Source organism: Homo sapiens, chromosome 8 (genome assembly GCF_000001405.40).
Source record: "Homo sapiens chromosome 8, GRCh38.p14 Primary Assembly".
NCBI lineage: Eukaryota > Metazoa > Chordata > Mammalia > Primates > Hominidae > Homo > Homo sapiens.
In genome coordinates this window covers 46,913,689-46,927,708 of record NC_000008.11, presented here as the reverse complement: position 1 = coordinate 46,927,708, position 14,020 = coordinate 46,913,689, and the positions used below count along the sequence as shown (strand labels likewise).

At 52.9% G+C, this 14,020-nt stretch overlaps 1 annotated feature.

The window, feature by feature from the left end:
• Positions 9,461-9,560: a silencer, noted in NCBI's record as "silent region_19167". NCBI's record gives its function as "represses an Ori minimal core promoter by ATAC-STARR-seq in GM12878 lymphoblastoid cells {active_cell/tissue: GM12878}" and the evidence as "EXISTENCE:reporter gene assay evidence [ECO:0000049][PMID:35858748]".

Here is a 14,020-nt window from a genome sequence, read left to right as displayed (position 1 = left end):
AGCCAATATGTGTTATTGTAAGTACGTGTTTATTAACACATGTTTCAGGAACACTCTCCCTAAACTAGAGAGGACCCGTGGGAGGTGTACTTTCTTCCTTTGGATTTTACAATGACACACTAGAAAGAGTGATGGAAAACTTTCTAATTGGCAGCAGAGCCAGAATGTTCAAAGGTGAGGAACAAGTAGGCAAGTCAGACCAGGGTCTGATCCAGAAGTCATATCTGTCATTTTATCTAAAAGAGGGCGAATGAGATGGGAAAGACCTTGTGTGTCCTTTGCTTCTGAAAGTAAAGGCAATGAGGGTGCCAGCAATACATCCTGAGCATTTACATTTACTGACAGAAACCATACTTGTTTGTTATGCAAAAGTTCTGTAGAAGCTTAGATATGCAGTAGAAATTATTTAGGTTGAGACAAGTGGTAACAATTGTGGCTATTGCTAGGGGTCATTGCACTTAAACACCAAATGCTCTCCTGCCCAGGGCATCACATTCCTTCTGTGTTAAGCATAGAGTGGACTGTTGGTGTGTTGATGAAGTAGAATTTATGCAGTTTTCCCTCTTCCAAGGTGCTGTCATCCATTGAAAGACTTTCTCAGTCAACCCTGTATAGAAGGAAAGTTTGGAGAAATCTTGAAGAATAAAGACTTGCACAGAGAGTTGAGCAGCAGGTTCTTAGAGAAGGCAGTCCGTATTATCCATCTACTGCTGTGTAACACATCGCCACAAATTTAGCATCTTAAAACATGACACATTTATCTCACAGTTTATGTGGGTCAGGAATCCAGGCCCAGTGGGGCTGAGTCCTCTGATTCTGGCCCTGGAACAAGCCTGCAAACAAGGTGTAAGCCAGGGTTGTTGTCTCACCTTGCAATGGATAATTTTATGTGTCAACTTGACTGGATTAAGGGACACCCAGATAGCTAGTAAAGCATTTTTGGGTGAGTCTGTGAAGGTGTTTCTGGAAGAGATTAGCAATTGAATCAATGGATGGTGTTTTTGCTGGGGTTCTCCAGAAAAAAACCAGTAGGATATCAATATCTAGCTACAGACAGAGATATGTGAGAAGAGACTTATTAGGGGAACTGGATCACATGATTATGAAGCCTGCAAAGTCCCACAATAAGCCGTGTGCAAGTTGGAGACCCAGGGAAGCCCATATGTAACTCTCAGTCCCAGGCTCAATGTCTGGGAATCCAGTGGGGTGGTGGGGGCTGGGGGATGGTTCTGGTGTGAGTCCTGGAGTCCACAGGCCAGAGAGCTTGGAGTTCTGATGACCAAGGGCAGAAGTGTGTCCTAACTCCAGGAGAGAGAGCGGGATAATCACCTTTCCTCTGCCTTTTTCTTTAGGATTCTCTCCAGCTGATTGGACAGTGCCTACCCACATCCAGGGCATCTTCCCCACTCAGCCTTACCCACACCCAGGAATAATGCTTTATCGGTGCTCTAGGTATTTCTTAACCCAGTCAAGCTGGCGCACAAAATTAACCATCACACTGAGTAAAAAAGAATTGTCCTCACTGATGTGGGCTGGCATCCTGAACATAACAGAACAGAAGGCTGGGGAAGAGGGGATCTGCTGAGCTAAGGCACGCATCTACTCCTGCCCTCCAACATAGGGGCTCCTGGTTCTCAGGCCACTGGATGCTGATTGACCTACACCATGGGCTTTCCTGGGTCTCCAGCTTGCAGAGGACAGGTTATGGGGCTGACTCCTCAGCCTCTGTAATCACAATTTCCATAATAAATCCCCTTTCATATATCCACATATATACGCTATCAATTTTCTTTCTCTGGAGAACCCTGGCTAATCCCTACCTGAGATCTTGGCTGGGACAGGGCTGTTCCTCCCTCCTGTGATATTGGCAGGACTCGGTTCTCTGTGGGTTATTATGCTGAGCCCCTTGATTTCCTGATGGCTGTGGCTGCAGGACACCCTCAGTTCCTGGCCACACGGACAGCTCATGGTGTAGCAGCTAGCGTCATACAAGCTGGCAAGGGTGAGTGTCTGCTGTCAATAAGGATGTTACAATCTCATGTTATTCAATCACATCTGTCACAGAAGTGGCATCCCCTTGACCCTGAGAGATCCTAACATCACAGCGAGTTACTCAAGAAGAGGGAATTGCACTAGGCTGTGAATACCAGCAAGCAGGGGCTGCTGGGGCAATCTAGAGGCCACCTACTGCAGCCAGCCTGCTGGCCGCTGGTGATGCCACCCCCTGGCATCCAGGTCTTCATGTCACCTCTTCCCCTAAGTGTGGGCAGGACTTGTGGCCAATTCAACAGCCCACGAAATGCCAATCCTCCAAAGACAACATGAGCTTGGAAGTGGATCTCTCCCGAGTCACATTTTGAGATGAGACCTTCAACTCTGGTCAACATCTTGGCTGAAGGCTCATGAGACCTCCTAAGGAAAAGAACCCAGGTGAGCCCAGATTTCTGCCCCTCCAGAAACTGCGAGATGATGACTGCAAGGAATTTAAAGCTGGTATGTTTGTGGAAATGTGTCACACAGCAATAGATAACTAATGCACCATTTGCAATAATTCCTCCAATGGCAGGAACTGCCGACAAAAGGTTTGGGATGCTGGGAGGATTTCTGGTATGAAGAGATTCAGAAGCTGTGCATCTAAACTTCCCGGAGAGACTTAGTGTAGAGATAAACCCTGGGGTAAATGAAAAGAGAGCACTGTAGCAAGTCTGTGCATAAAGCACTGGCCTATGTGATACAGTGATTAACAAGTCCACCATGTATTATGCAATATTATAGAATACCCCTCTTTTCTGTGGCTCTTGTTAATTTTTTGTACCTCTGAATGGTTATGCACTTGGCAAAAAGTTCCTGATGTGTGAACATAAATGTCCAAAGCATGGGCCCGGCCTTTCCTTTCCTTGAAGTTTTCACTATTTATCACCAGACATCAACTATCTGTTTGAGTTTGGCACTGGAGATGCTGACCTGAGCTGGCCTCCTGGCATAGTTTTTTCACTGGGGGAAACTTTCACCCTAAAAATGGCATCCCTCTAGCAAGGAGTCATGTGTCTTGAATCCTACTTTCGGCTCAAATCCTGGGGTGCTATTGGCTGAGGAAAAGTCCTCCTTTTGCTGCCTTTGAGATGTTTGTAAAGCCCCATGGCCCCCCAGCCTGGCCTGTTTCCCCTGGGAGGCCTCCCCATGGGCAGGACATGCTATGTGCTTCTCATGCCTGATGGGGCTGCTCATGCAAGCCCAGGTGAAGTGATGGGTGATGGAACCTGGGAGGGATGGTGTGAGTCCTTATGCTTCTTGCCCTGGTGCTCAACAATTCTCCTTGGGACCCAAGTGGCCCCAGATGTTGGCATGCATCAGGAAGGATCCAAGAACAGCTGGGCTGGCCCGATGGTCTACCTCATGGGTTTCAGGGCACTGAGAGCTGGCCAGTCACATTCCCATGGCAGCCCAACAAGGCCCAGCAGAGGGGTGGGTGGTGGGATGGCAGGGCTTGTAGGGCAGAGCATTCTGATGGGCCAGGGCCTAGTTTGAGTAGGGCTGCTCTGTGGGCCTATATCCACAGGCATTGCTGTGGCTTTGGCCAAGACCTCTGGGCTCCCTGAACATCAGGCAGCCTCTCCTCCTTTAGGGAAGATGGACAGTTACCCCTGAGCAGGGCCATGCGGGGCAAAGCACAATGGTGGTTGTGAAGTTTTTTCAGAGACAAGATGCTGTAACCACAACACGTGTGGATTTCCACTGCAGGAGCACCCAGTGCCATGTTAAAAGACATGTGAGTTTGGAGTTTATGTGGGTATGGTATTGGCTTAGTGGTTTCTCCCCATCTTTTTTGTCTACTTTTCTCTTTGTCTACCTGCTTGCCATGAGCCTGAGGGCAGGGCCTGAATCCAGCAGCACCAGAACCCAGGTGGCCTGGCTCTCCAATAAATGGAAAAGAAAGCTGGGTGGAAATATGGAGGACAATGGTAAAGGCCTGGATTACAACTGAGTATAGACAGATCTGAAGTGGCCAGTGTCCAGGTGCTGAACTTATAATAGTCCATCCTATGCGGCTTAGCGATTCCAGCCATCAGCCATTCCTGGTCCCTGCTCTGCCTGCCTGCAGACACCAGGCTCCCCACAAGGCACTTTCCCACTGCCCTTGATCTCAGGGCATTCATGTCTCCCTGCTCTATTCGGAAACTATCCTGCACAGACCACAGCTAAGCACACCACTACCATAAGAGTCTAGCTGCATTTCTCTCTGGCCCCAACTCTGGCCCTCACTCCTCATTCTGGTTTCCTCTCTTTAACCTCTGAGCCTCTGCACTTGCTGTTCCTCTTGCCGAGCACACCCTTCCTCTCCATTCCACATAGTACAATCTTACTCATGCATCAAGCCTGAACACAGGAGGATGGCTCCGACCACTCGGTGAGTTCCCACTTCTCTAAATTCCTGTTATTAGATCACCAGTCCTCTTACTTTGTCCTCAATTGTAGTTGGACATGATTGATTTAAACGACAGAGGCATTTGTCTGGCTTCGTCTCTGAGACTGCCATCTCCCTGTAGACAGGGAGCAAACGTTGTGCATCTTCTATGTGTCTCCGCAGCTTGCATGGTGTTGGCAAGTAACCGAGACTGGCATGTGCATTGAGGTGGATGGGCGAGCAGGCCAAACACCGCTCCCAGGAAGATGGAGAAGATAGGCAGAAAGGCGGCAAGGATGCAAGACAGAGAAAAGCTTGGGGTGAAAAAATCCTACCTAGGTGCAGGTGCTGGGGCTGCAGACCCTAGAGCTTCTCAAAGGCAACTTGATGTTTTATAGTTCCATCCAGTCTCCAGCATCACCGTGTGGCCGCAGCATCTGTGGTATCCAAGCGACTTTATCCCTGGGGGAGTATGGGCATCTCCCTGGGAGGGTGTCCACAGGAGGACGTCAGGGCTCTGTGGGTGGCCTGGCATCTGGGGTCTGGGGATCGTGCTTGGAAGGAATCAGATAATGCCTGGAATCCAAGGCTTGACTCCTCCTTGTCTCCTAAGAGCTCCTTGGGAGTTGGGCTCCCGTTAAGTGGTTTTTGACCCCAGTTTTCCTGATTCTCAGATTCATCTGGCATGGAGGCTGGGTAGCTTTTCTGCATTCTGAAGCTTTCTTCCCACTGGCAGTGAGTTTATGGGAGTGCTTCTGTGCTGTTGTTCTATTTTTTACAGGAAAGGTTGAGTGACACTTCGAGGACAGGGCACACAGGCTGCCTTTGGGCCAGTTCCCAGCCAACAGGAAGTCACAGCTGGCTTTTGAGTTGGGAAGAGCTGGATTTCATTTTCATGTGACCCTGAGTCTGTTTCCTTATCCAGAAAACAGAGAGAACAATGGAATCCAGCTAACAGGGTTGGAGTGGGGAGGGATGGCTTACAGCAGAGCCTACCCGGGGACAGGCATGGCTGTGCTGGAGTGGCTGAAGCCACCTCACTCCTCTGAGCCTCAGCTCTCATCTGTAGAATGCTGCATCCTTAGGTCTGTCCCAGCTCCATTCCAGTCAGTCATGATGTGCTGATGGGCACCTCCCTGGCCAGGCGACCATCCATGGCTCAGCAGCCCAGCATAGGAACAGGTGTGTCTAAGAGCTTGGTGGGGCAGAGCCCACGTGCTCCCCCTTCACCGCCTTCCCCATCCCCAAAGGTCTCTGCACAGAGGCAGGTAAGCATATTTGGGAACAGAATAAAAGAGCAATCAAGGATTCTTTTGGGATCTGTGAATGACGGTAGTAACAGTTATTAAGCTCCTACTGTGTGCCAGAGAATTCTAGGAGACACTCCATGTGTGATAAATAACAGGACTCACAAGAGCCCCATGAAGGGCTGCTGTTGCCTGCGTTCTGTGGAAGTGGAAATTGAGCTTTAGAAGAATGAGCTGATCTGCCCATGACACACAGCTGGCAGGCAGAAGCGGAACCTGAGCCGACACCACCTGTGCAGACCCCAGGGCCTCTCACCTGCCCTCCCTAACCCAGAGGGATCTTCTTTATTTCAGCAGAGCCAGTGCATGGCACATGTGGATGGTGGGTCTCACCCCACATCCTCTGGGACATCGGCAAGAGACAGGAGTGACTTGGTGGGTGAGGGGCTGGCATGAACACCTAGCACAGTGTGGGGCAGGAGGGCAGGGCACTGCAGGACCTTGTGATGGGCAGCAGGGGCACAGCTTCCTCGGTGCCCTGTCCATTCATTTATCACTCAGCCATCTTCCGAGTGTCTGCTGGCAATGTGTCATCTGCCAGGCATCGTCTGATTCTCCTGGGTCTGACTGCAGACAGACTGTGCTGCCCTGGGAGCACGTGTCCCAAAGCAAGCCCATGGGAGAGGAGGGGTGACACCAATTTTTGCCCCACCCAGCCTGTTCCTCCTTCCCCTGAGCCCTGACCTGTCCTTCTCCAGGGGAGCCCCTGGCCTCCAGTCCCCTTCACCCAGACAACTCCGCAGCTCATTCTCCTTTCCAGGGCCCTCTGAGGATAAGCAACACAGGCTGTGTGCACTGAGATGAGAACTTCTGACCCTTTCTCCTCCTTTCCCTGGAGATCTAATTTAAAAGGTCTGGAGCAGGAGCCTGGGGGTCAGCGCATGGATTTTTGAAGGGCCAGTGAAGGTGCTGCCCTCTGGGCTTCTCTGGCAGCCTGCCTGGCCCCCTGTGCCTCTCCCCTCCTCCCCTCCCCTGTAACTGCCCAGCCCTGAGAGGAAACAGAGCTCCCTCCCTGAGGTCACAGCCTCCTGTGCATGGGCTGGCATCCCAAGCCCTGAAGGACAGGATGTCCTGATGAGCAGAAACCCTCTCCAGGCCTGGGATGAGTGTGGCAGCCACAGGAGTGGGCTCTCGGGTGGGATGGGTCCTTGGAGGGGCTGTTCCCACCCATCCCTGCTGGTGAGGGGTAGAGGAGTGTGAGGCCATCGGGAGTGGTCATGGGGGTCAAGAATGAAGCCATACTGGACAAGGTGAAGGCATGCTACTGCCCCATCAAAACAGGACAGAAACATGTGGCCTGTATGGAGAGTGGGGCTATGTAGGGCAGGGAGGGTGGCATGGAGGAGCCAGATACTCAAGGACCCCTCTTATCTAAGCGCCTTGTGGTGCCCCCTAAACAGCTCAGTGTGGAATGTTCAATGCCTTTGATGTTTCCCGGGCAGGGCTGGAACCGGAAAGGCTGATATCTTGGGTTTTCTACATCCCGCATCCCTCCCTTGTCACCGAGCGAGGAAAACCTTGGCCATGTCAGGACTGGTGGAAAGTCATCAGACTGGGCAGAATGCATGAGCTGCTCCTTGCAAAGGGGCCTGCACTGCTGGGAGGGCTGGTCTCTCAGCACCCTCTTCAGCCTGCAGGAGGCCCCACGGCCCCAGGGTTGTTGGCCTCTGTCCCTGGCCCTGTCCCAGCTTGTCCTGGTGCCCTGGTGGCAAGGCCTAGCACTTACTGTCTCCGGTGGCACCAGGGAAGAGACAAATACCCCACCAGGCCCTCCCGAGTCTATGTAGCCATGATCCTGGCTCTCTCCTCCCTCAATGACCTGTGGGCAACTACTTATCCATTCTCCAGATTTTTGCCAGTAAGAAATCCCCTCTAGGAAAATGAAAAGAAAAAAACTTCCAGAGAAACTTTCCCCAGTGCAGCGCCAGCTCCCCCATTTCTACATCAGACCTTCAGAGCCCAGAGGCAGCTGCAGGAGAAAAGGACAGGCTGGCACTGGCTTCCCACTGGATGGCTGTTTCCCAAGGAAGGCCCTTTGGATCCTGGATTTCCTCTTGCTCTATGCCTAGGTCACAGTGGCAGAGCCTTTGGAAGTTGCTCAACCAAGGTTAATAAATCTCAAATAAAGTTTGCCTTCACCTTCACAAACACCCTACTCTGAGTAGGAGGCCTCTCTCTGTCTCCTGCTAGGATGGCAGCAGGGCAAAGGAAGGGACCTGGATTCAGGCAGGGCAAGGCAGGAGCATAGCTGGCCATGGGTGGGCCTGCAGAGTCCTTGGTGTCAGCTGAGAGGAGGAGTCCAGCTCTAGAAGCAAAGCTGCTGGGAGCTCTCCCTTCACAGGGGGCGTGGGCCTCTGGTGTGCAGGGTCCTCCTGGGCACTGGGCCTGAGACTGCAGGATTTGCATCGTTGCCACCCCTTCCCTTCCTTTTTTTTTGTTTGTTTTCTTTTGTTTTTTGAGACAGAGTCTCGCTCTGCCACCCAGGCTGGAGTGCAATGGCATGATCTGGGCTCACTGCAACCTCTGCCTCCTGGGTTCAAGCGATTCTCCTGCCTCAGCCTCCCTAGTAGCTGGGATTACAGGCATGTCCCACTGTGCATGGCTAATTTTTGTATTTTTAGTAGAGATGAGGTTTCACCATGTTGGCCAGGCTGATCTCAAACTCCTGACCTCAAGTGATCTGCTTGCCTTGGCCTCCCAAAGTGCTGTGATTACAGGCCTGAGCCACTGGGCCTTGCCCCTTCTTTCCGGAGATTTTCTGGCATGCTCTTCCTTCTCCATCTCATTCTCCCTTCTCTTCTCTCCTTTCCCCCCTCCCTCCTTGTGTCCAACTTCTTCTCAGGAAGAGGACCCAGAGGGGACAGTGGCGCCCTCCTCCCCTTGCCTCCTCTTCCAGTCTCTCCCTTCTGGCTTTTTGTGCTGTCCTCTACCTTTCTGATCTTCTCCCCACCGCAGGCCATACTGGCTGATTTCACAGTAAGCCACGTGGGTCCAGCCGGGCTTCCTCTCTCCTGTGGGAAGGAACCCAGGGCCAGCGCAAACTCCAGAAGGTTCCCTGGGGGTGGAGGCTGTGGCTGGGTGAGCTCCAGGAGCAGGGGCACAGCCACAGCCTGGGAGGCAGTGATGGCCCCTGGTGCAGCAGTGGCTGGAGCCCACCTTAGGTCCCGCTGCTGTGAATCTGGTGGGGAGGAAGTCACAGAGTGGACGTGGCAGCGTGTATCAAATCACCATGGTTTCCAATGTGCACTCTGTGCAGTTCCTGCGGGCAAGAAAACGAGGGCAAACTTTAATCTGCGTCTAGGCAATTTCACGCACACGAAAACACTTAAAAGCCACTCGCCAGGCCCTGGGTTCCCACGCTTCTTTCACTGCATGATTGAAACTAGATGTATCTGACATGGCAGTGCTCCTTCCTCCATACCGCCGCATCTGGCCATATCAGCTCTCTACGGCTACCATAACAATGACCACACGCTGAATGGCTGAAGCAGCACGCATGTATTATCCTACAGCTCTGGAGGTCAGCGTCTGAAGGGTCTAAAATCCAGGCGCGCGCAGGGCTGGTTCCTGCAGAGGCTCTGGGGGCAGCCTGGCTTCCTGCCTTCCTCTACTCTTCGGGTCCTGGCTCCTTCCTCGTCTCAAAGCCTGTGGCGCAGCGTCCCCCGATCTCCTCCCATCCCGGCTCCATCCTGGCTCTGAAGGATCAGCGCCAGGGCTCTGCGCTGGCCTGGGTGGTCCAGGGCCGTCTCCTGCCTGGAGGTCCTGGTACCCCCGCTCTGCCAGTACCTTCCGACCTGGGGATGACCCCCCCCCAGGGTCGTGAACCCGCCTCTCCCGCCAGCCTGCTGGCTCCTTGCAAGGCGAGGGCCCCCTGGGCCGGCAGCTGGCGGGGCAGGGTCCACCCGGGCAGGGCCGGCTGTGTTTTCCTATGACTTCCCTGCCGTGCTCTCCCTGGGCCGGGGTTCACCCTCGGCCACAGCCCAGCAGTTTATGGCACTTTTTGATTTCGTTGCTATTCCTGGGGTGGGGCTGGGTGACGATCAGGCCCACCTCTAGACAACAGGAAGCCACTACCAGTCTCATGGGACGAACTCCAACCGCGGCTGGCAGAGTCGGAAACCACCGCCCCGGCCTCCTGCTCCCCGCGCCTGGCGCGCCCCCTGCTGGCCCCGCAGCGCCGCACGCCCGCTTCAGGCTCCTGGCTTCTCCCTGGGAATCCCGCCTCGCGGCTTCCTGCATCTGGCCTGGAATACATTGAGGAGCCGGTACTGAATTGCTGAGGGCAAAAGCCCTAGAATTGTAACCGTCAGTGGGTTCACCTTGCTCGCCTCTTAGACAGAGCCATTTATTAAGACAGGGGAATGGCAAAAGAGAAAGGGTAATTCACACAGAGCCAGCTGTGCAGGAGACTGGAGTTTTATTATTACTCAAATCAGTCTCCCCGAGACTTCGGGGATCAGAGTTTTTAAGGATAATTTGGCGGGTGGGCGGGGGGGTGCCAGTGAATCAGGATTTCTGATTGGTCAGGAGAGGAAATCCTAGGGAGTTTAAGTTGTCCTGTTGTGCTGGGTCAGTTCCTGGGAGGGGGAACTGACCAATGACCCAAGACCATGACCCAGTGAGCCCGTTTATCCATCTGGGTGGTGCCAGCTGATCCATCCAGCACAAGGTCTGCAAAATATCTCAAGCACTGATCTTACGTTTTACAACAGTGATGTGATCCCCAGGAGCAATCTGGGGAGTTTTAGAATCTTGCAGTCCCCAGCTGCATGACTACTAAACCATAATTTCTAATCTTTTGGCTAATGTGTTAGTCCTACAAAGGCAGTTTACTCCTCAGGAAAGAAGGGGGTTTGTTTTGGGAAAGGGCTGTTTTCATCTTTGTTTCAAACTATAAACAATAAACTAAGTTCCTCCCAAAGTTAGTTCAGCTTACGCCCAGGAATGAACAAGGACCGCTGGGAGGTTAGAAGCAAGATGGAATTGGTTGGGTCAGATGTCTTTCACTGTCTCAGTTCTAATTTTGCAGTGGTGGTTTCAGAATCACTGAGGCCTAAGTCAGTCTTGCACCCAGCTAGTGGTGACAGTGGAGGTGGTGTTGGACGTATGTGCGGTGGACAGGCTACATTTCTCTGGAGACGCACAAACTGTCAGAGGAAGAGCCCCAGCTCCCATCAGGAAATCCAGACACACTAGCATCTTCCCCAGCCTCCCAACAACCTTGCCTGGTGTTGGGGTGTGGGGGGGCTCATTCCTCTCTAAGGCTGATTTCAGCCCTCGCTTGGGCACCCCCTGTGCAGACTTGCTGCAGCCACACCTGCTAAAACAAAAGTTCCACTGGATTTTGCATCTCTTTTTGATTGTCCTGTCTTCCTCTCCCCTTCATAGAAAGGCTTTCCAAATCAGCCCTGGGGCTGCCTTCCCTCGCCACCTGGTTTAGTCCTCGGCCCAGGCTGCTCTGGGCAGGCGACCACCTCCTCTGTGCCCATGCAGGCATCCCTCACATTTCAGCCCTGGATCTAGGGGTCTCAGCCACAGCCAAGGCTCCTCCCAGAATCTTCCATCCTGGGCTCAGGGACCCACACCCTGGCCCCGCTGGCTTCCCGGCTGCTTTGCTGCTTCTTAGTCTTTGTGGTTGACACATCTTTCCCTGCAGACCTCAGCAGGCCTGAGTTCCCCCAAGGCAGTCCTGGCCACACTTTCCCTTCTCGCACCTTCCTCCTGGATGGCTGCCTGCTTCCTTCCTCCTCAGGCTTTGCAGACCCTCCCAGCTGTGGCCTCTACTTTTGTATCCCCAGCTCTTCCCTCCAGCTGGGCTCCACACTCTGCTGGCCCAGGTCCAAAGACACCCCCATCACACCGCACCCTCCCCCAAAAACCTGTTTCTCCCACACAACACTGCACCCTCCCCGCATAATGTACCCTCCCCAACAATGTACACCCCACCCCACAAAGCGCCCCCTACACACCACAGTGCAACTTTCTCCAACACACTGCACTCTCCTCCCACCAAAATGTACTCTCCCTCCCCACAGCACACCCCACCCATCATAATGCATTCCCCAACACACTGCACCCTCCACCACCACAATGCACCCCCTTGCCACGATGCACCCCTTCACCTCACAACCCCACAATGCACCCTTCCCCCCACACCTTACCCTCCCCCAAGTCTTCCCCATTTAAGATAAATTATACCCGTAACTACCTATTGCTCAAGTTTGCAGTCTGGAAGCCACCTATGCTTCTCTCTCTTGAGCTCTATCATGAAGTCCTGTTGTTTATAATTAAAATATGTCCTGAAACTACTCAGGGTCTTCGCCCATTTTGCCACCAGTCAGATTCAAGCCTCCTTGTGTCTTGCATGCACCCTGGCAGAAGGACCCAATGCCTGCCTTCCCTTCCTGTCCTGAGCCCTGCGCAGCCTGCTGAGCACTGGCTTCCAGCTTGCCCTACTCTCTGCTTCCCTTATGCTTAGGACTCTCCTGGTCTACAAGGACCTGCCTGGCCTAGCTTCACCGCCTCTCTCTGCCTCTCCACAGTGGCCGCCCTACCTGCCTTCTCCTCCTCAACCCACAGCTCTCCCACCAGGGTCTCACCTGCAATGCTCTTTTTCTGCACTTTGCCGAGGTTGCTTCCTTCTCAGCCTTTGGGGCATATCTTGAATGACACGCCCTTGGGATGGGCTTCTTTTGAACAAGATCTGCTCTCAGCCTTACTTCTCAGGGCCACAGCTCCCTGGTTCCTCCCCTGGATTTGAGGACTGTGCTGTGCCTGCCTGTGCACTTAGTGATTGCCCTCGCCCCTTCCCACGCAATGAAGCCATGCCAGGAACTGTGCCTCTCCTGCTTCCGCTGCATCTGTGGCAGCTGACATTGTCCCTGGAATAAAGCAAGTGGCCCGCAAGTTTCACTGACTAAACAAATTAATTTATTAATTTCATATTGTATCCATGGCCCTTAGCAAACATTTTACACATTTGTCTCATACATACTCAAATAATGAAGAAACTGAAGGCCAGGGACATTTCATATTACACATTCACAGAGCTCAGAAGGGGCAGCACTTGGGCTTGAATTTAGGTCTGAACTTGGTTCTAGGTGCTGAGTACAGAGCAAGAGCTGCCTATGACTCAAGAGGATGGCACACCACTGCAAATTCAACTCGGAAGAGCACAGCTCCCCTGAGGCTACACTGGGAGAAGGAATCAGGAGGGTTATTAGTGAGGGCACTGATGCCCAATAAGTCGCTGAGCTGCAGCTGTTCTGGCAAAGGCCATGCGGGAAAGCCAAGTAAAACCCGGTGGACTGGGGTCAGCAGCCAGCTGGGGCAGGAGTGTGTGCAGGGTGGGTGATCTGCTCCATAGGCTCTCTTCCTTCCGTTTTCCATCCTCCTATCAGCAATGTCCAGGGACAGAGGCCTCCAAAAAATAAAACTCAGAAAAGAAATAACTTTGAAAGTTGTCAGGCAAAGATCAGACCCACTCTGCAGTCTAGGAAAGTGGGACACACAGAAATCAAACTGCCCAGAGTGATAGGAAAAGCAGACTAGCCTCTGCAGTGCCCCGGGGGTCTGCCTGTGGCCAGTGTCCCAGGGAGGCTGGATGTTTGAAGAGAGGGGCAAAGGGGCCACTGAGGTTTGTCTTGGCCAGCTTCCACGACATAGTGGGATCCTAATGCCTGAAGTGGCTTAAGGGGCTGCTTGTGACTGGGGGAGGTTAGTGTGAACACCCCAAGCATCCTCCTCCCTGAGGCCAGCCTCAAGCTCAGTGCAAGCTGGGGACAGTCCTGGACCTGGGGGTGAAGCAAAGAGGAGCGAGGGAAGCAGAGGTGCTGAGGGGAGGATGGGGCTCTTGTGAAATTAGCAGGGAGACTGGGGAGGGGCCTGCCGGGGCTGCATGACCTCAAATGCCCTTGTGGTCCCTGACATGCACACGTCACCAATCTTATCTTCCTCTTTGGTCCTCTGTCATTTTCTACCTTCTGGGTAACAAAGATGCAATAAAGCAAGTCCAAGACTTCTCAGTTGAGTTGAATGAGACACCCTTTGAGATAAATACCCAGTCCCCCCTATTTCTTCTGTGTTGTGTTAAATGACCTTTTTATCAGGCTGTTGAGTTGGACTCAGCTCCTGTACTGGGTCCAACAGACCAAACCAATATGGAACCATTCATGCTAAGTGAAACTGAGCTTTGTCCTCATGTGCAGGAGGGCTGAGCTTGAGGCATCCACCATGGCCAGTGAGTTCAAGCAAAGCTGGAGCCCATCAGGCCCCACACCGCACTTCTGGTCTCTGCCCTGGATGCTGC